General features: G+C 41.7%; 1 protein-coding gene and 1 long non-coding RNA gene across 12 annotated transcripts in view; one reads left to right on the top strand and one right to left on the bottom strand.

The window, feature by feature from the left end:
- LIMS4 (LIM zinc finger domain containing 4) overlaps positions 1-22,666 on the bottom strand; it is a 113,949-nt gene that overhangs the window by 88,957 nt on the left and 2,326 nt on the right. For 6 of the 8 annotated variants that reach the window (XR_007068194.1, XM_017003105.3, XM_017003103.3 and 3 more), the window contains exons 2-8: positions 20,012-20,171; positions 8,947-9,013; positions 7,352-7,472; positions 6,768-6,917; positions 3,781-3,931; positions 3,078-3,170; positions 1,736-1,784 (exon numbers count right to left, since the gene is read on the bottom strand). Coding sequence is in view for 6 of the 8 variants with exons in the window: in XM_017003105.3 (XP_016858594.1) it covers positions 1,736-1,784; positions 3,078-3,170; positions 3,781-3,931; positions 6,768-6,917; positions 7,352-7,472; positions 8,947-9,013; positions 20,012-20,171 (791 nt within the window). In the remaining 2 variants the exon portion in view is untranslated. Of the gene's footprint in view, positions 1-1,735; positions 1,785-3,077; positions 3,171-3,780; positions 3,936-6,767; positions 6,918-7,351; positions 7,473-8,946; positions 9,014-16,967; positions 17,545-20,011; positions 20,172-22,666 lie in introns of those variants that run through there. The other 2 variants (NR_038099.1, NM_001205288.2) reach the window with 2 other exon arrangements.
- Positions 718-4,564, top strand: LOC105373552 (uncharacterized). 4 transcript variants are annotated; one of them, XR_923186.2, is made up of 4 exons: positions 718-1,067; positions 2,272-2,449; positions 2,843-2,900; positions 4,527-4,564. It is a non-coding gene; the product is annotated as an uncharacterized LOC105373552 (long non-coding RNA). The 4 variants fall into 4 exon arrangements; XR_001739119.2 differs by having other exon boundaries at positions 2,272-2,900; XR_923185.3 differs by lacking the exon at positions 4,527-4,564 and having other exon boundaries at positions 2,843-3,159.

Raw genomic sequence — 22,666 nt, forward strand, 5'->3', positions numbered from 1 at the left:
TTATTTTGTAGAGATGGAGGTCTTGCTACGTTGCCCAGGCTGGTATCCAACTCCTGGCCTCAAGAAATTCTCCTGTCTCGGCCTCCTTAAGTGCTGGGATTACAGGTGTAAGCCACCACACCCGGCCCTCAACCTTTATGTATACAGTTGTTGCTCAATATGTGCAGGATACTATTTCTAGGATGCTGTGAGGATACCAAAATCTCAGACGCTCAAGTTCCTGATATAAAATGCATATAACCTATGTACATTGTCTTGTATACATTTATTTATTTATTTTTGAGACGAAGTTTTGCTCTTGTCGCCCAGGCTGGAGTGCAATGGTGTGATGTTGGCTCACAGCAACCTCTGCCTCCCGGGTTCAAGTGATTCTCCTGCCTCAGCCTCCCGAGTAGCTGGGATTATAGGCATGCACCACCACACCCAGCTAATTTTTTGTATTTTTAGTAGAGATGGGGTTTCACCATGTTGGCCAGACTGGTCTTGAACTCTTGACCTCAGTTGATCTGCCTGCCTCGGCCTCCCAAAGTGTTGGGATTACAGGTGTGAGCCACTGCGCCTGGTCCCGTCTCGTATACTTTAGATCATCTCTAGGTTAATTATAATGCCTAGTACAATGTAAATGATATGTAAATAGTCATTATACTGTACTATTTGTATTGTTATATTGTTATTTTTCTCTAAATATTTTTGATCCATAGTTGGTTGAATCCACGGATGTTTGGATCCAGCCCCTGGATACGGAGGGCTGACTTTAATCTTCCCCCATCCTTAAGTATCCTGTGAAGTTATAAATGATGTGTGCCATGTCTTACACCAGCAACTGTGCCCCCTTGGCCTGGGCACATGTGGCAACTGTCCATGCATCATGTTGTTTAGGTGAGCTTGCTGTTTCTGTCCCTACTGCTGTTGGCCCAACTAGGAAATATGAACTAGGTAAATAATTTTCAAAAATCCAGACATTAACTTATTTGCCTCTGTAGGAGTCTTTTTTCCAGAGCTGATGATAACAAGACAGTTTCCTCTGCAGCTTCTTTCACCTGGCATCTATTTCACAGAGGAGGGAGGTAAGTTTTATTTTCAATGGCACTAAAGATTGTTTTCCTGGATTGTTTTCACAAACTGCACATGAACAGTTTCAAAAGTATTTCCTGAATTAGGTGATGTCTGCAGGCAGCCATGAATCATGCTGAAAACAGTATCGTTCAAAACTTTGCCAGGAAGTCTCTGGCAGAAGTGTGTTAGCGAGTCTTAGCAAACACAGCTGCTTCCTTTCTGTTCCAATCAATCAGCCCAGCCTAATTACCACAGTACAAGGGTGGTAAGTCCTAGATATGCTTGCTGATAACTGCCAGCTTTTAGCATGTGCAGGTTAAAGTGCCTCTTGCTAACTACGATAGCAGATTAAACTCTTCCTAATAAACGTTGTTCTAGAGCTTCCTGAAACTGGACACAGAAACAGGTCTTAGGGTCCACCAGGGACAGTTCCCATGATTGCTGGCATACAACACTACAGCAGTGGCCAAAAGTAGTGTCATAAATCAGTAACAAATCCAACTCTTTGATATTATCATCTTACTGCTACAGATTACTTGGAAAATACGCCAAAGATAGAGAAAAAGTAACTGATAACGATCACATTTCAAACCATAGCAATCACCAACCTGAATTTCCACATTCCCCAAGTGTTTTTGTGTCAAAGTGGCACCAATCTAAAACTCACACAGATACTTACCATCACCTTCTATAACACGATTGCAGTGGAAGCAAACATCACCAAATAGCTGAAAATAAAAAAAGGTGGTCAAAGTTCAAGATGTGTTAGAATTTTTAGAACACTGAACATTTAAAAATAGCTGGCTATCTAAATTGAGGATTTATCACTACTAGAGAAAATTAGTAAAAGTTCTTTGACAAGTTTTTACTTCTTACAATGAAAGTAATTCACTCTCATCAATTAAAAGAAAAACTTCCCGGATGACAGTTTGAACACCCAAATAAGTGATGCAAAATATAGAAATCTGTGAGTCCATATGGATAAGAAATAGATAAATGAATAAACCTATAGACGGGAGAGGAGGTGGGTTCTTGCTCAGGCAGAGCGCTGAGGACCAGACTATGGGTGGAGGGCATGGGGCTGGAGAAGTATTGTTTGCAGCTGGCGCAGAGACAAGAATCATCAAGGGGTGCTGAATCTAGGGCGGGTTGATGAGGAACAGGACATTTCCATGGTCATAGAATGATTGCCCACAGATTGCTTCTTTCTTACAGAGGAGGGAAGGAAATTGTAATTCACAGTGATGTTATCAGCCAGCACCATGCCTGGGAGATCACCAGTGCAGGAGAGGTATAAAATGCTCCAGGGGCAAGGTTCTGAGAAGATGCCCTGCCACTGTATGAGGCCACAACCTGCTGTGTATAACCTCATCTAAGCACAGAGAAGCACCAGGTGAACCCAAGTGGAAAGTAGTCTATTAAAAAGGGGTTAGGGGCCCTCTGCATCCCTCCAAAATGTCAATGTCATCAAAAATTTTAAAAGACTCTGGAAACGTTCCAGATTTAAGAAAGCTAAAGAAACATCACAGCCCTAGGCTGGGTCCAGTCTGGGAGTGGAAAAAATGCTGTGAGGATATTACTGACTCAAGTGATAAAACTGGAATAAATGGGTTAAAGTACGGTATCAATATTGATAACTACAATTATGTTAGAGAGTCCCATATTCTTGGGAAATATACACTGAAGTATTTAGGGGTAAAGGAGTATGATGAACTTATTGGCAAATGCTTTAGAAACAGCCATCGTACTTGTATATAATATTTATGTAAGTATGTGTTTTACACAGGAAGACTGAGCGTGGGAAATGATAAAGCAAACTGTGGACTTGAATGAAAGACATACAGGTATTCTTTGTATTTTTATAGTTAGCTTCTGAGTCTGAAATTATTTCCCAAATAAAAAGTTAAAAACAAATCTCTACTGAACAATGTACATCTTCCAAGAGATTTCCTTGTAGCTAAACTACTGATAAGCTTAGGTTCATAAAAGTCTATCTAGCATCCAGTGACTAAGGTCAATACCTGGTTATAGTGAGTTTCACAATACGCCAGGCCTTTCCTCTCATAATGGCGATGTCCAAGAAAGGGTTTCTCACACTTGGCACAAACAAAATGCTGAAAAAAAATTGCTATAGGTCATTTTTGAATTGCCATATTTTATATCTAATAAAGTAAACACCAGAGTTAACCTATTTTCAGAGAAGATGAAGGAAAGTTTGAGACAGTCATTTCATTTGGCCATAGGTGGCCCCATAACATAATACTTCTGCAGTTGTAATTCAGGTGTCTGTCTTTGAAGGTTACTTTAAGACACAGCCTATTATAATAGCCCAAAAAGAGAATAGAGGTGAGCATCTCAGTAGCACCTATAAAGGAGGAGCTGCTGCTGGATACAGACCATGGCACTTCCTGCTTCAAGAAGGCTTTAGGAGCAAAAGTGCACATCTTGTATCATTACTGAGACATTCACAAAAGCAGTGTACCTTCTATATTCTTAGCTGTCAGCAAAGTCAATTGTCTTTAAAATGTCCACGTTTAATCTTTAGAGTCTCCTAATCTTGCCAGGACACCTGAATCATGAAGATTTGAAAGTACTGGTTATCCCTGAATCATGGAGATTTGAAAGGATTGGTTACCCCTTAATCATGGAGATTTGAAAGTATTGGTTACTCCTTAATCATGGAGATTTGAAAGGATTGGTTACCCTTTACCATTTAGAACTCACCTCCACATGCCACTGCTTGCCCATGGCGTTCACCACACGCCCTTCGATGGGCCGTCGGCAAGCGCCACAGATGGGGACCCCCATTTTATCATGGCATGGCAGGCAGTATAGCTCCCCTTTCAGCTCCTGTGCATCGGCAGTCAGATCCTTCCTGTCTGTGAGAAAGACACCCAGCTTAATACTAAGAGAGAAAAATGGCCAACCGATGGGGCTAGCACACTTTTTAGAAGGTTTTTAAAGATATTACTATGACAATCCCTGCAAATTTCTTTTTTCCCCTTTAGAGGTGATCAGAATAACCTGAATTAATAGGCCCGAACAGGTTTCAGACTCCTACCAAAACATCTGTATCTTAAAAGGATAAGATGCAAGACTAGGTCAGATACATACCACCACACCAGTCATATTCATAATTTCCTTCTTGTATTATCACATTCCATTTTAGTCCATTTGTCTTCCTTTAAAAGCTACAGGGAATAATCACAGTGCTGAGGGTAGACTCAGTAATACTACCTGCTATGGTGTGACTGTGTCCCCAAAGTTCATGATCCCCAATGCAGAGGTGTTGAGAGGTAGGACCTCTAAGGGGTGATTACATCATGAAGGCTCTGCCCTCACAGATGGATTAACACTGTTACTGAGGGGGTGGGTTCCTTATAAAAGGATGAGTTCAGCCTCCTTCCTTCTCTTCCTTCCCCCCTCCTCTTCCCCCACCATGTGATGCCCTCTGCTATGTAATGATGCAGAAGAAGGTCCTCACCAGATGCCAGCCCCTTGATCTTGGACTTCCCAGCCTCCAGAACCATGAGCCAAATAAACTTCTGTTGGTTACAAATTACCCAGTTTGTGGTATTCTGTTACAGGCGCATAAAATAGACTAACACACGACCTTTCCAAGCAAACTGAGAAGTTGGGAGACTAGTTCCATTTACTAACAATTATTTAAATTGTCACAAGCTGTTGAAAAGAGTTATAGGTTAATAGGTTTATTTTCATAAACAACAAAATGCCCAGAATTTTCCTTCTCCAAATACTCAAATTAAATATTATTTTCAGTCTCCTGCATCAATAAACATTTGGTCAGAGATGGTCCCAATTAGTCAAATGGACTTGTTTGAATTTCATCCCTTTTATGTAATTCTCTAGGAGAGATGCTAATGAAAAGTGGACAGAGGTGAATCCCCAAGAGGAAGGACAGGCAAGAAAACGAGATAAGGCACAAACTGATAATTCAATCACAAAAGATGAGATGGCTGAACTTATACAACCAAACTGTTTTCTTTCTTTCTTTTTTTTTTTTTTTTTTTGAGACGAGTCTTGCTTTGCTGCCCAGGCTGGAGTGCAGTGGCGCGATCCACACTCACTGCAAGCTCCACCTCCCAGGTTCACGCCATTCTCCTGCCTCAGCCTCCCGAGTAGCTGGGACTACAGCCACCCACCACCACGCCTGGCTAATTTTTTTATTTTTAGTAGAGATGGGGTTTCACCATGTTAGCCAGGATGGTCTCGATCTCCTGACCTCATGATCCACCCGCCTCGGCCTCCCAAAGTGCTGGGATTACAGGCGTGTGCCACTGCACCTGGCCCAAACTGTTTTCTTAGCATTTGGCCTACTGTTTCTTCTCCATCCCTACTATAATTTACCAAGTAAGTTCACATTAACTATAGTAAAGAATATTTTTTTAATTTTTTTTTGAGACGGAGTCTCGCTCTGTCTCCCAGGCTGGAGTGCAGTGACGCGATCTCGGCTCACTGCAAGCTCCACCTCCCGGGTTCCTGCCATTCTCCTGCCTCAGCCTCCCAAGTAGCTGGGACTACAGGCGCCCGCCACCGTGCCCGGCTAATTTTTTTTGTATTTTTTAGTAGAGACGGGGTTTCACCGTGTTAGCCAGGATGGTCTCGATCTCCTGTCCTCGTGATTTGCCCGCCTCAGCCTCCCAAAGTGCTGGGATTACAGGCATGAGCCACTGCGCCCGGCCAAGAATCTTTATGCACTAAATTTTTATACTAGGTGGCAAACTGAGAAAAATTCATAGCCTAACAATTTATCATAACTTATTGAAGACAAAAAATTAAATATATTTCTTTTAGATATAAACCAAGCCAAATTAAATAAATATAACAACATCTTTTAAGATAATATCTAATTATTACAACTGTAAAAGTTATGCATGTACAGAGATAAGACCTTTTTTTGTTTTTAGATCTTCGACTGGAAAAACATAGTGATGACAAATATTTCTGGGGCTACTGGGAATATTTTTAATATGGACTGATAGTTGATATTATAAGATTATTGCTAATTTTCTTAGGCATAATAAGAGTATTGTGGTTCTGGCCAGGTGCAGTGGCTCATGCCTATAGTCCCAGCACTTTGGGAGGCCGAGATGAGTAGATTGCTTGAGCCCAGGAGTTTGAGACCAGCCTGGGCAACGCAGCAAGGCTCCATCTCTACAAAAAATTTAAAAAAATTAGGAAGGGTGGTGTGTGCCTGTGGTCTCAGCTACTCTGGAGGCTGAAGTGGGGGGACTGCTTGAGCCCAGGAGGGTGAGGCTGCAGTGAGCTATGATTGCCCACTGCACTTCAGCCTGGGCAATAGAGCGAGACCCTGTCTCAAGGAAAAAAAAAATTTACAAAATGTATCATGGTTCCATAGGAAAATGCCCTTATTCTCAGGAGATGCATACTGGGAGTCATGAGAAATTTTAGAGGTATGCGTATACAGGCACATGTGCACACATACATAGGAGGGTGAAACGAGAATGTGGACTGTATACACACAAGCATGGCAAAATGTCAACTGGTGAAATGAAATTAAGGGTATACAGGTTTCATTATATCATTCTCCTGACTCTTCTATAGGTTTAAAATTTTCTAGACTAAAAATGGGAGAAAAACAATTTGGTTTGCTAGAGTAACAGAAATATAGATAAATGTAATCTTTCATTCCCACTGCTTGTGTAATAAAAAAGAAACAATTCCAGTACCCGCAGTTGGCGCAGTTGAAATGGTCTGGATGGTAGGGGTCGTTCTTGAATATCAGAGGCTGCTCATCGATGATAGCATGGCATTTCTGGCAGATGTATTTCCCAAGGCCTCTGGCTTTCTCACGATTATGACAGGGGCGACACAGGTGTCTAAACAGAGTCAAAACTTAAATTTAAAATTTTAGGTTCTTTCTAATGGTTAAAAAGAAATATGCTTCCCTTATCTCTGAAAAGAAATTAAACAAACCATTTCTTAAAAAAATCACTCCTGTGCTTCACGGGGCAGAATCAAGCCACATGAAAAATGTGTTCCAACCCTAATATGACTGATTTTTAAGAAACTCCATCTAGGTACATCCCCCATTGGTAGTTCAGCCATGCATGGAGCAGTTATGCCCTGTGAACAGCAACACAAGGGTCCACTCCCAGCAGCAGCACTCAGTCAACACACTGCAGTGTCTGAGTTCCCATGCCCTCAATTCAGTGTCCTACAGAACTGCCTTACATCCCACATGGAGAATACACATGATCTTGTCACAGTCACATTGTCCACCCACATCTGACAAGGATGAAAATCCACCTACCTCCCAGCATTCTTGACAAACCCGATATCTGCCAGAACTTCCTGGCAGAGGTCACAGCGGAAGCACTCCGGATGCCAGCTGTTATTCATGGCTTTGATAACTCGGCCAATGATGAATTCACCTGTGGGAAAGCAACACACAAAGGATGTTACTAAGTAACATCCTAAGTAACAGGCATGGCACTTTATTTACTGAGAGAGCAATTAAGGAAAAACAGTGAGGAAAAAAACCGTTGAAGCCTTTCTCAATAGAGGAACTTTTTTTTTTTTTGGAGACAGTTTCGCTCTTGTTGTCCAGGCTGGAGTGCAATGGCACCATCTCGACTCACTGCAACCTCTGCCTCCCGGGTTCAAGCGATTCTCCTGCCTCAGCCTCCCAAGTAGCTGGGATTACAGGCACCTGCCACCACGCCCGGCTAATTTTGTATTTTCAGTAGAGATGGGGTTTCTCCATGTTGGTCAAATTCCCGACCTCAGGTGATCCGCCCGTCTTGGCCTCCCAAAGTGCTAGGATTATAGGCGTGAGCCACCACACGTGGCCAGTAGAAGAACTTTTTATTTATGTGTCTACCAGAGTAAGCACATTAGCAAAAAAGTTTTTATTTCATCCGAATTTTTGTTTTTGATTCAGCAGCCACATTTTTGGGCTGTTTTGTGTCATCTCTGAATCTAGCTTTCCTTTCCAAATGAGCTACTAGGCTCTCTTGAATGCCTTTTGGTTATTTCTGGTCATTGTCAACATAGACAACTGAAATCTACAGCACAGTTTCTTATAACCCATACTTAATTTATTCTTTCATTAAACCTTTAGAACATTCTACCCAGTTTCTTCAATCTCTGGAAACCTGGCAGAGGTATTAGCAACCAGTGAAGTGGCCAACGTGCAAGCAAGTCCATCACTTATGCGCCGTGCAAGCAATGTTTAAGCATCCCTAAGCTTCTGAAGCACCTCACTGATTTCTTCCCTGCCTCTTTCCGGGCAAAACCAAAAGCAAGTAGGTAAAGGTTGTGTTAACACAGGAAAAGAACACTCCCAAACACCACCCGATAGGAGTCCTAGTTCATCCCAAAATACCTCTACCTTAAATGTCCTTAAAAATCAATGATCTCTAGGTTTTGATACTCCTCCAGCTTGTTCTATGTTAACAATAGGGAAGAGGAGTGATGAAGTATCCAACAGTTATTCATAATGAGCACTAAAAACCATTTTTACCATCGATACTTCACCAGTGTGAAATGACTGAAGTAATGTGGAAACTTACTTTTTTTCCCCGCAAGATGGAGTTTGGCTGTTGCCCAGGCTGGAGTGAAGTGGTGCAATCTCAGCTCACTGCAACCTCTGCCCCCTGGGTTCAAGCGATTCTCCTGCCTCAGCCTCTTGAATAACTGGGATTACTGGCACCTGCCACCATGCCCAGTTAATTTTTGTATTTTTAGTAGAGACCGGGTTTCCCTACGTTGGCCAGGCTGGTCTCGAATTCCTGACCTCAGGTGATCCTCCTCCCTCCGCCTCCCAAAGTGCTAGGATTACAGGTGTGAGCCACCGCGCCTGGCCGGAAACTTACTTTTTACTTGACATTTAGCAGTAAAACTTACCACACTGATGACAGCAAGGGGCAAAGAGCATCTGAAAGTCATGTTCACAGTACTTTCTTCCTTCAAACTGAAAGAGAGGGTACCACCAACTTACAGACACGAAACAATCACAGGAGAAATATAATTATTTGATGAAGATATACAGGAAAGATGTTTCTAAACTAAGAGTTCTACTCTAAGAATTTATAACTCTACTGGGATTTTAAAAAGCAGATACTCTTTTGCACCACCCATACATCTACATGTTGGTACAGGAAAGACATACGGAATAAGTAGAGGCTAGAGTGAACAGTACACCTACAGGGACTGGTGACCTGGCCTCTGACTGTGCTGAATTGTTTTCTGGCTCAAATACCCTGCCTTTAATGAATCTGATGAAAGCTATGGATAACCTCTCCCTCCAGAAAATATGCACATACATACAACTCTCCTCCCACATTTTTCAGGTCGATATCTGTAATTCTCACTGTAACCTCAAATATTTACAAAGGGCAAATATTCTAGCACATTGTATTTTATTATTTTTTTAAATGGGAGTCTTGCTATGTTGCCTAGGCTAGTTCTTGGACTCCTGGCCCAAAGCAATCCTCCCACCTCAGTCTCTCAAAGCACTGGGACCACAGGCGTTAGCCAGTACGCTCAGCCTTAGCACATTTTAAAATGACCAAAATCCATTAAAAAACATTCTCTTAACAGCCAAGATTTTTACATCTTTCATTTCTTGAATGTTTTCATTTTATGTGCTCCAATTTTATCCTAGTATATTTTTGTACTTGTCTTTAACTGATCACCCTATCATACTTTTCTGCAATTAAAAAATATATATAACATGAAATTTTAAAATGTGCTTTCTGAATCCATAAGGCTGTAAAGGTTAACATTTATTTTCTTCTGTATTATCATTAGAATGATTAGTATAGGACAAGCAAGACATAAACATTAATTTTTTTATACTATCTGTTTACTTGAAAAGCATATCTTAGTGATAGTGAAATGAGTAGGGCTGCCCTTTCCTCCCACAATTATTTCATGTATCTCATGCATCAATATGGCTTTCCACTAGAAGACTCAGGTTCAATATTAATTCTAGGTCTATTTTCTATTTTGGGTGTTGCTTTTTTTTTTAATATAGAAATGCTAAGAAGCCCTTTTCACATTACTAACTTGTGAGAAATGTTATAGTAATGTCTCCCCTTGAGTCTTTGAGCTCCTTACAAGTTATATGCCAAAAGTCATACACTGTTTGATTATTAAAATCCATTTTTAATGATATCCATTTTTAATGTATCAGTTGTCAACTCAATTTCCTCAAATTATGGCTATAGATTTAGTGCATCCAATTTAGTGAACATATCTACCACAGCTTAACTGGCAAAGTCAGTTCTTACTGTTGAACCAACCAAAGCAGATTTTCTCCTAGAAAGATAACTTTTTTTTTTCCCAGTCCCGCTCTGTTGCCCAGTCTGGAGTGCAGTGGTACAATCTTGGCTCACTGTAACCTCTGCCTCTTGGGTTCAAGCAATTCTCCTGCCTCAGCCTCCTGAGTAGCTGGGATTACAAGCACCCGCCACCATGTCCAGCTAATTTTTGTATTTTCAGTAGAGATGGGGTTTCACCATGTTGGCCAGGCTGGTCTCGAACTCCTGACCTCAAGTGATCCTCCCACCTTTGGCCTCCCAAAGTGCTGGGATTACAGGTGTGAGCTACTATGTCCAGCTTTCACTTTTTAATTCAAATGAATAAGATGTAGTATATTTAATGTATCTTTTTGTTTTTAGACTAGGTCTTGCTATGTTGTTCAGGCTCGTCTTGAACACTTGGGCTCAAGTGGTCCTTCTACATCAGCCTCTTGAGTAGCTGGGATTACAGGCACACACTACCTTGTCCAGATTAATGTATTTGGTTTTTAAACAGAAAGAATAAATTGATATGCTATTACTCAATACTATGCCATACTACATTATAATGTGCAGCCAAAAGTACAAGTATTTATGAAGCGTGATATATTTCTGATGAATGTATGCCACCTATACGTATAAAAATCTGATATTTAGCTTTTAGCAGTAATTAATGGAACTACCATATGATCCAGCAATCTCACTACTGGGAATATATCCAAAGGAAATGGAATCAGTATGTGGAAGAGATATCTGCACTCTCATGTTTACTGCAGCACTATTCACAATAGCCAAGATTTGGAAGCAATCTAACTGTCCATCAGCGGATGAATGGATTAAAAAAATACGGTACATATACCCAGCAGAGTACTCTTTGGCCGTAAAAAAGAATGAGATCCTGTCATCTGTGGCGACATGGATGAACCTGTAGGACATTACATTAAGTGAAATAAGCACAGAAGGACAAATACTACATGATCTCACTCATATGTGGCATCTAAAGAGGTTGATTTCATAGAAATAGAGTAAAATAGAGGTTGCTGGAGGCTGGGGAGAATGGAGTGGAGGGGATGGGGAGAAGATGGTCAATGGGTACCAAGTTACAGTTAGGACGAATAAGTTCTAGTGTTCTATTGCACAGTAGAGTGACTTTGGTTAATAATATATTGCATTTCAAAATATTTCAAAATAGCTATTTCAAAATAGCTAGAAAAGGGGTATTTTGAATATTCTTACGACAAAGAAATTATAAATGTACAAGGTGATGGATACGTTAAATACCCTGATTTGATTTTTACACAATGTATACATGTATTGAAACATCACACTGTGCCCCATGTGTGTAATTATTATGTCAATTAGAAACAAAAAAACAAAATGACCACAAAACAGCCTTCTGTATCTGCTGGGTCTGCATCCTTGAATTTGATCAACCAAGGATAAAAAAAAATGTGGAAGAAAAAACCCCAAACAATAAAAAAAACCAATAGAAAAATAAAAATAATACAAATTTAAAAACACAGTATAACAACTATGTACATAGCATTTACATTTTATTAGCTATTGTAAGTAATCTAGAGATAATGAAAAATATACAGGAGGATGTGCATAGGTTATATGCAAGTAAGTATACCATTTTATATCAGGGACTTGAGCATTCAAAGATTTTGGTAAGCTCTGAGGGTGAGGTGGGAGTGGGGTGGAGGGGGTGTCCTGGAACCAATCCTCTGTGGATACCATAAGACGACTGTGTAAAAACTCATAAATAACTCCATTAATTTAGATAGAAATGATCAACTTTTATTCTGTATTAAATGAAAGAGAAAGATGTATATTGCATAAAAACACTAAAAAGTAGCCCAGTAGTATATATATATATATAATTTTTTTTAGAAGGTTGAAAATATAATCACTGTATACATAAAATAAAATTAGGATTAACTATAATTTGGAAACATCTTTTAACAAGACAAGTAGGAGTCAAGAACACTGACCATGGATCCAGACTGCCTGTGTTCAAAATCTGGCTGAAAGACTCATTGTGTGGTCTTGGGCAAGTTGCTTAACCTCTAGGGCCTCCCAAGAGTCAAAAAGCAATACTGCTTTGGTCTGTTTGTTCTAGCTCATGGCATACCCTCACTGTGACATTGTGAAATACATATTTGGTCTTCCTCCCAGTTTCTTGGCATACAGCTCCTAAAATCCTTGGAATCTTAAAAGTGATGTCTCTGTATATGTTAATGAGGTGCCTCCTGACTGGCAGCCCCTAGGTAGATTTAGGATGGGACTGGTTACCAGAAAGACCAAGGCAGAATCGGATGGTTGGGGTTTTCAGCCCCACCCTCCAGCCTTCAGGAAAGGCAGAGAGGAGCTGAAGGTTAAGTTGATCACCAGTGGCCAAGTGTTTAATTCATCATGCCTACATAATGAAGCCTCCGTAAAAATTTAAAAGGACAGGGTGCAGACAGCTTCTGGATAGCTGAACACAGTGTAGTTTCCCAGAGGGTGGTGCAGCCAGAGAAGGTGTGGAAGCTCTGAACACCTTCCCCTGTATACCTCACCCTACGTATCTCTTCAGCTGTATCCTTTGTAATATCCTTTTTAAAAATTTATTTTATTATTATTATTATTATTTTTTTTTTTCAGAAACGGTCTTGCCCTGTTTTTTCAGGCTGGAGTGCAGTGGCATGATTATAGCTCACTGTAGCCTCCAACTCCTAGGCTCAAATGATCTTCCCACCTCAGCCTCCCAAGTAGCTGGGACTGTGTGTGCCATCATGCCTGGCTAATTTTGTTATTTTTTGTAGAGACAGGATCTCACTATGTTGTCCAGGCTGCTCTTGAACTCCTGGCTTCAAGCAATCCTCCCACCTGAGTCTCTCAAAGTGCTAGGATTACAGGTGTGCTCTACCGTGCCTGGCTGGTAATATTGTTTAGAATAAACTGGTAGAGCCAGGCATGGTAGCATGTGCCTATAGTCCCAGCTACTGGGGAGGCTGAGGCAGGAAGACTGCCTGAGTCCACGAGATGGAGACTGCAGTGAACTGTGATTGTTCCACTGCACTCCAGTTTAGGTGACAGAGCTTGACTTTGTCTCAAAACAAACAAATAAACATAATACTAATAATAAACCAGTAAAAGTGTTTCCCTGAGCTCTGTGAGTTGCTCTAGCAAATTAATAGAACCAGAAGAGGAGGCTGTGGGATTCCCAATTTACAGAGCATGTCAGCCAGAAGGACAGGTGAAGCAATCTGGGGCTTTCAATTGGCATCAGAAGGAGAAGACAGTCCTGGCGCTGCCCCTCAATCTGTGGTCTCCAGGTAGATAGTGTGGGAATTGAATTGGAGAACGCCCAGCTGGTGTCCACTGCAGAACTGATTGCTTGCTTGGCGTGTGGTGAAAAGTTCCCACACGTTTGGTCACAGAAGAACTTGTGTTGATTGTTGTGGTGTGCAAGCAGAGGGAAAATGGTTTGTGTTTTCTATCCACCTCATTCACAATTTCTTACCAACGCTCTTTGCTTTGCTCTCCCAGAGCTTTCCCTTAAAATGGATAAATTCTTCTGAAATTAGTCAGGGGATGAAAAAGGCTAAGTCCTAAAAGGAAAGCTGTTGGCTGGGTGCAGTGGCTCATGCCTGTAATCTCAGCACTTTGGAAGGCCGAGGTGGGCAGATAATGAGATCAGGAGTTCGATACCAGCCTGACCAACATGGTGAAACCTGTCTCTACTAAAAATACAAAAATTAGCCAGACGTGGTGGCATGCGCCTGGATTCCTAGCTACTGAGGAGGCTGAGGCAGGAGAATCGCTTGAATCCAGGAGGCGGAGGTTGCAGTGAGCCAAGATCACACCACTGCACTCCAGCCTGGGTGACAGAGCGAAACTCTGTCTCAAAAAAAATAAATAAATAAAAAATAAAAATAAATTAAAAAGGAAAGCTGTTGTAACTACTGCCTACGTCTCTAAATTCAGCATATGCAGTCATCTGCCAGATAACATTTCTGTCAACAATGGACCATATATACTACCATGGTATATGGTATATTTACTGTACTTTTTCTGCTTGGATACTTTTAGATACACAATACTCACCATTGTGTTACAACTGCCTGCAGTATTCTGTATAGTAACATGCTGTACAGGTTTGTAGCCTAGGAGGGACAGGCCATACCATATAGACTAGATGTGTTGTAGGCTATGACATTTAGGTTTGTTAAATACATTCTCTGATGTTTGCACAACAATGATCTTGCCTAATGACACCTTTCTCAGACATTTCCCTGTGGTTAAGGGGCGTGCATATCTGTACCTGAATACAGAATATCCAACACAGTTCCTAAAGCCAAGCTTCTCCTTAACGAGAAAATACATAAGGCAGGGAAAGACTAAGCCTTATGGGTTTCAGCACTCCCTAACTAATCCTTTTTGATGGGTATCCTGGAGCAATTAATGATAGTAAGATTTGAGATTTCTTTCTTTTGCAATGTGAGAGAAGTACTATTGTGAATATAAATATGTTTTCAGGCAAAGAGAAAAGGATCCAGAAATTGAGTCCTTCAAAACCAGAATAGGAGGACTTAGAAATAGATTTCCTTGCCACCATTCATCCTGCAAATCTCTTGCACTCTGGGCTATGCTTCTCCAGTGTCACAACTATTGTTAATTCCAGGTGGAGAACTTCTGCTATAATGAGCTGCCTCTTTTCTACAGTGTGTAGAAATGATCAAACATAGTATAGCTCAACTTTTGAGCCTGAGAGAAAGGCCAGAAGTTGATCCAAAGTAAAACTACGATATAAAATTTTTTAAAAATCAAGAATCATAAATTGGGAAGAATTAAATTTCTATAAATATAGCCTTTCTAGGTAACTACACATTACATCCCCAAACTGATTTAAACAATGAATACGATAAGCCTGTTAGAAATATTAATGGTCCAAATTAGTAGTATTTATAAACAAAATGCCTTAAGAACCCTGGGGTCCCACCGCTTGTGGAAATGGGTTGCTTTGTGTGGGGGAAGATGAGCTCCAAGAATGGCTCTAACTGTTTTAAGTTTTGGAGTTCTGTAAATATTCCCTTTAGGGGAAGAAACAGTTATTCTGAGCTGCTTTCAAGTAAGCTCAGAACGGGAAACCAGCTGAAAGTCTCATTTCCAGTCAAGTGCAAAGTTGCAAATCTTCATTTGGTACTTTATACTGGTTTGTCATAAACTGCCTTGAAGTGAGTGGATCCACAGATAAACAGATGTGCTGGTTGGAAGGGTCTTCCATTTCAGTTTCTGCCTTCCTGAATAATCAGAGTAAATGAGTGAAGAAACCTCTTTGTAAAACATCTTGCTACAAGACTACTCATCATAAACGGGTCTTTCCTGGCCAGGCGTAGTGGCTCACTCCTGTAATCCCAGCACTTTAGGAGGACGAGGTGAGCGGATCACCTGAGGTCGGGAGTTTGAGACCAGCCTGACCAACATGGAGAAACCCCGTCTCTACTAAAAATACAAAATTAGCTGGGCATGGTGGTGCCTGCCTGTAATCCCAGCTACTTGGGAGCCTGAGGCAGGAGAAGCACTTGAGGCCGTGAGGCAGAGGTTGCAGTGAGCCAAGATCACGCATTTGCACTCCAGCCTGGGCAACAAGAGTGAAACTCTGTCTCAAAAAAAATAAAAATAAAAATAAAAAATTAAAAAAATGGGTCTTTCCTGTTAATGCATTTTGTGATGGGAAAAAAGGGACACATTTGTGAAATCCAAACTAAGGAGAGAGAAATGTGAAGCACCAACAAAGAACCCAGCCCTGAGCATGTACTAAGTCAGGGTTAATCAGCTGCACACCTGGTCCCTAGTCCTTGGTTCAGTCCATCCCACTCTGCAGTACTTCCTGGACTTAAATCACTCTTGTAACTGTTGGCTCCACCACTCCCAAAAGTATTTTCTTATGGGAAAAATTAAAATACTTCTTTTACTGGAGATAATGCTGGATGTCACAAAGATTTAGGAACCACTATAGTTAGCGTTAGGGCCTCTGGGTTGAAAGGGTATTTCCCTGGGGAAATGGCATCTAATCACTTGAGCTCAGGAGTTCGAGACCAGCCTGGGCAACAGGGCAAGACCCTGTTTCTGCAAAAAAAAATTTTTTAATTATCTGGCTGTGGTGGTGTGTGCCTGTAGTCCTAGCTACTAGGGAGGCTGAGGTGGGAGGATTGCTTGAGCCCAGGAAGTCAAGGCTGCAGTGAGCCATGATTGTGCCACTGCACTCCAGCCTGGGTAACACGGTAAGACCCTGTTTTAAGAAAAAGAAAAGAAAGAAAAAAAAAAGAGAAACTGTAGTTGAGACAGAAATACTGGTGCTCATTTCTTCAGATATATGTTCTGGTAAGTGGTTAGGAAACAAGGATCTCATTCTATACTTGCCTCTGTGGCCAAAGGGAAGAGAATGTCCTATTTAATTCAAAGTACCAGAAAGTTATACCATAAAAGTAAATCACATTTTCAAGGGGAAGCGAGTGCACAGACCCCACCTCTAAGTCTTCCTAACTAGTCTTCTAGAGAAAAGAAAAAATAGAGGCTGTGGAAATCAGGGAAGGAAGTTGTTGTGATAACGAGACAAAAGCAATAACAAAGATATAGAGTGGCGAAGATGCATTTATTATACAAAGACTGAAGCACATCAGTCATGTCCCAAATGGAAGGCAAACTGGGTAAGTTTCCAAGCTTTCTTTTCTGGAGAACAACTTATTGCTGGATATAATTGAAAGTGAAGATTATTTGTTAGCAGCCTTGGATAGTTTTTTTTTTCTCTAATATCATTTAACCAAAAAGAAATGTCTTATTCTCCAGATGCAGGTTTACACATCCCTGGGCTGGTTTTAATGATAAACAATGTAGCCAAAATAGTAATCTTCCTCAGGACCCAATAGAGCTTGAACTGGGCAACAGCCCATGAATAGCCTAGTTCTGGGTATTCATCGCATCTTTTGGAATAACAGCACACAGACCCAGGGAGGGTATTTATAGTCCAGTGTGAGGGGTGGGCAGGACGAGATGAGTCATGCTTTATTCTTCGCTGCTCAAGGCTGTTCTGAGCTTTTCCCTCTGACTCAGCACCAGTGGCCTCACAGCTGACAGGGCCTAAATGCGGCAGCAGGAGCTCAGGAAGCGGTCATGCTGCTTAATGAAGGTAGCTTAACCATCACGTTCGTTCCTAAGTCACAGGCAAAATGGGAGAAAGAAGGTGACGGAGGGCTGGAGCTCCAGGGTGCTCACAGGGGAAAGAGCAAGCCAGGGATATAAGGAAAATGTTTGGGAAAACAAAGCCTGTCTTTTTCTCTGAGTTCTTCTCTATTGCTCCCCTGGACCGAGCTCTCCTAAGGCCTTTGTCATAATCACCCATTTCAATAAAAATATCTTATATTTAAAAAGAATATGTAAGGGAAAGAATATTGTATTGGATACTAGGAGACCAGCTAGGTTCTCATCTCTTTCATGTCGCAAACCTGCTATGTTATCAGACATTTCAACCTCTCTGGACTACAGGAGAAAAAAAAAAGAAGGGAGGGATACAGAAGGAATTCATATAGTGAGAAGACCATGCTCTCTCCAAGCCAGCTTTCCAGAATTCCCTTCAATGTGCCTTGGGAGTCTCACCTCCTTCCTTGCCATAGTCCCACCAGGCCTCCACGGTGCCGAGGTAGAAGCAGGTCCTCAGGTCCCTTTAACTGAATTGAGTCATGGCTCACCACCACTACCACCAGCAAATGCCCTCTCTTCTTGCTGCCGCAGCACCTAGGGATTTCCTATTCCTTCTCCTCACCAGCTAATCACAGTCTACCTATAGCCTCGGTAGGGGGTCTCTATGCCTGATGCCTCCATTCACACCTCTGGAGCTCCTCTCCTGCCCTCTTCTGCTGTGGTACATTGGCCTCTCCTGCTCCTGTCCATCTTCACAACTGTCATTTGCCCATCCCTAAATCCATCATCCTTGTCCAAAAGATTCCCACTGCCCAGGGAAGGAGTCAGGAAGAACAGGAAGAACTGTAAGAAGATACATAGAGCATGTTTGGAGGCCTAAAGAAATAAACTTAAAAAAAAAAAAAAAAGAACGAGAAGAAAAGAGAAAACGAAAACCTCTTTCCACTGCTAAGGTTTTTGTTGTTGGGAATGTGTGTTTTGGGGACACAATAGGAGCTTAAAAAAATGTGTGCTAGTGAATAAAATAGCATTCCTTAACCCAAACCCTTAAAGCTGTTTCCAAGTTGACATTATTACATACTTGCTAGCCCTGTATTTCATGTACCCATGATGGGGTAAACAGCTTTTCTGTGGGCTGGCCTGGGAACCCCACTCTCATGTTTGTTTCTATGGGAAAATGCTGCCGGAGTGGCATACAATGGACTTACCAATGATCTTTGTCAACTACCTTTCCTTGCTCAAGCATGGTTTATATAACAGGGAAACATAAAAATCTGCTAGGCAAAAGAAGAAATCAAAGAGCAGCCATCTCCAGCTATAAAATAATTCTATATACATATATTATCATATATAGATGTGCATTTACGTACAAATATGTAAGAAGTAAGGTGGTAAAAGTAAATTACCTATTTGATCTAACACACACATACACCTCACTCTCACCGTCATTTATAGCCTGGGGTCAGCATCTCTAGATTATCCCCCAAAATACATGTTTACTGTGAGACAGGAGTTTCAGTGGGCCAGACATGGAGGTTCATGCGTGTAATCCTAGCACTTTGGGAGGCCGAGGATCACCTGAGCCCAGGAGTTTGAGACCAGCCTGGGCAACATAGGGAGACTCCGTTTCTATGAAAAATAAAATTAGTCGGGCATGGTGGCACGTGCCTGTAGCCCCAGCTACTCAGGAGGCTGAGGCTGGAGGATCACTTGAGCTTAGCAGTTCAAGGCTGCAATGAGCTATAATCATGCCACTACACTCTAGCCTGGGCTATACAATGAGACTTTGTCTCAAACAAAACAAAACAATAAAAAACAACAAGAAAGTGGTTTCGGTAATGTTGAGAATACCAAATACACTACAAAGGAAGTGCAGACCATATGCTAACACCCGAGGATCAAGAAAAACAAATATTTAGAAAAGAACATAGACACCCAGGAGAGCTAAATGTAGACAGTATAGTTCCCTAAAATACTTATTTTTTTTTCCCTTAGAAAATAAATGCATGGACGCTCCTGGCTCGAGGCTGGGAAGTTGTGGAGGGGGTGACGTACACCGCACGCTCTCCTTTAGAGCAGGTCCAGTGGTCCTCTGAGAAGGGGGAAAGACACAGAGACAGGAGTGGGTGAGGTGTGTGGGGGGCCTGAGTGTGGCTGAAGACTCGGAAAGAATTTTCTATGTGGAGCTGAGCTGCTTAGGTCTGAAAGGCTCTGTCATAAGGGACTCTGGGTTCTGAAATAGGACGATGAACTGAGCAATACAAATGCAGGGTCTGTGAGGGTGTCCCAATCACGCCACTGCCCATATGGGCCATAGAGATGCCACCTCTGACCTCACAGCTATCAAATACCTGGCATGCATGTGGCACTTCAGTCTTTCATCATGAAACTGAACATGAAGGAGGAGTCCTCAGGAAAGAAGGGCAGGAAGCGGGAGGGTGGGGAATGGCACCTCCCTGCTTTTGTCCAGTGCAACTCACCTCATAGAAGAGTCCTTCTGGGAACTGCTGGAAGCACTGAGCGCACACGAAACACTGCTCATGGTACAGCTCCCCATTACTGTTCACGATCGTCTCAGCGGGCGCAAAGCCGCCCTTGCAGCGCTCGCAAGTGGCGCTGGCCAGGGCGTTGGCCATGTTGCTGTAACACGCAAAGAACAGCAGGTTGCAGACCGTCAGCCACTTCTTAGATCGAAGATCAAACAACACTAAGAACCGAGCAGCAAATTCTATCTGATCACAAAAACCCTATTTTATCTAAAAAGCTCAATTTCTTGCTTGTTCCTTACATGCTCTGAACTCGGACACTTCAGCCTCTTTACCGTAGCATCTGAGGCTCTGTAAGGGTGTCCCACTTTGATTCTGTTTCTAACATTTTTGGCATTCTTCTTGCTGAATATACTATGAGTGAGTGCCTACTATGTGTTAGGCACCTGAGACAGAGATGAAAGTTACAAGCTGCTCTCAAGGAATTGGGTTTATAGCTTAATAAGTAGCTTAATTAAAATATCCAAAAGTCAACATCTCAAGGCCAGTTTCTTTCCCTTCTGAGAACAGAATCTAAAATGCATGTCAACTAAATGCCATGTCATATAACCTAGACACGGGTTATCCCTTTGATTAAATCCCGTAGAAAACAACTGCTTAAGTAGCCTTAAAACCAGCCAAGATGCCCCAGTCCTGTTACCTAATCGGTAAGACGAACCTGATTACCAATATTATAAAATGTATCTTAAAATCACAGAATTTTACATAATAAAGATCATTTTACAGATGGCAAAACAGGTTCACAGAGATGGAAGGATCAGACCAACATCACAAGGCTAATTAGTTAAAGGAAGGTGCAGGACTAGAAATCCAGGTCCCCTGCTCATAAAATCACACTGTCAATCAAAACAGATTACACCACGAATTTCAAACACTTGAAAGGACATGACAGGGATACCACCACGTTTCATAGGTTAGGAAAGTGACACCAAGTTGTCAAGTAACCACTGCTGCGGCTGGTGACGTGGGAAATTCCCCCATCGGTAGCCTCACTACACCTTAAAACACAGAAGGCATTCAATAAATAATCTCAGGCTCTAACCACTGTGCAGTTTGGAAGAAGGAAAGCAACATGGCAGATGGCTGCAGTGGCTCACGCCTGTAATCCCAGGACTTTGGGAGGCTGAGGACAGTGGATTACTTGAGGTCAGGAGTTCGAGACCAGCCTGACCAACATGGTAAAACCTCGTCTCTAGTAAAAATTCAAAATTAGCCGGGTGTGGTGGCACATGCCTGTAGTCCCAGCTACTTGGGAGGCTGAGGCAGGAGAATCACTTGAACCTGGGAGGCGGAGGTTGCAGTGAGCCAAGATCTCGCCACTGCACTCCAGCCTGGACAACAAGAACAAAACTCCATTTCAAAAAAGAAAAAGGAAAAGAAAAGCAACATGGCTTTGACAGGCATACAATTAGATGAGGATTTCACGTGAAGACCTATTTATTTCTTAAAAGTCCTAGAAATGGAGAAGGTCCCCCATGCCAAGCGGTCCTTCAATTTTTGGCAAGTTTATTTTCACAGGCCTACCCACAGCATGAGCTCTACACCTGTGTGTCTAGTTCCCTGGTACAGCTTCTGACCTTCCAGATATTTAATCAATGTACTTCATGAAGTTATTACCAATGTTCTCCTGAATTTTCACAACCAACTAGTGAGACAGACAGGTAGACAGTCTCCATTCTATAAACAGAGTAACTAACTGCCTTGCCCCTATTGGTTTCCAAGTTTTGCTGTTTCCTTAGCAAAAGTGGTTCCACTTACTTGCTTCACTCCCCTCCACACCTCTGGAAGACAACTTTCCCTTTGCCTTTCTCCCCAAAATGTTTCACAAAACAGTCATCCTGTTTTGTAGCCTTGCCATAAATAACTGCGTGCAGACACACCATGTTCATCACTTCAGACCAGTCAAAGCTCAACTTTATTTAACAGGTTTGAATGCAGAATTAAAATGTCACAAAAAAAAGGAAGGAAGGGAGAAAGGGAAGCACCTTCACTGCTCAGTAAACCTGGCCCAAGCCTCATGTTAAAATGAATTTCCATTTTGTCATTTCAAAGTTACTGTAGGTTGGGGAAAAAATCTGTAAAATTCTCATCATCGCCCAGCTTTGCCGTAAGCCAGATGATTGTGGCAGTTTTACAAAACTCTGGAGGGGTTTGTGCTTCTTCCCTCTTTCTGACCAAAGTCCACAGGTATTCCTGGATGAAGGAGCACGGTAAGCTCCACATCTGCCTGGTCATTCTCAGTGCTGTTCTCATTATTGTTCTGAGGAAAAAGTATTTTAAGCTATTTGGAAACCGTAAGATGCTGCTCAAATATATGGCTCTGTTGTTAATTCTAAACCCTCTCAAAAGATTCACCAAACCTCAACAATCTTAATGGGACTCTAAAAAAGCCCAAAAAGAATATTCTAGAATGTCCTGGATCATTATCACCTAAATCAGTCGTTTTCAAAATGTCAGCGTCACCATGACCCTTTCAGGAGGCAGAAAAGTCCTCTTTTCCAACTACATCTCTGTGGGAGGCCATGTTTTCTTCATATATTTCATCTAAAACAATAGACTGTAATAGGTTGAATGCAGAAACAAATCTGA

This window comes from Homo sapiens, chromosome 2 (genome assembly GCF_000001405.40).
Source record: "Homo sapiens chromosome 2, GRCh38.p14 Primary Assembly".
Classification (NCBI taxonomy): domain Eukaryota; kingdom Metazoa; phylum Chordata; class Mammalia; order Primates; family Hominidae; genus Homo; species Homo sapiens.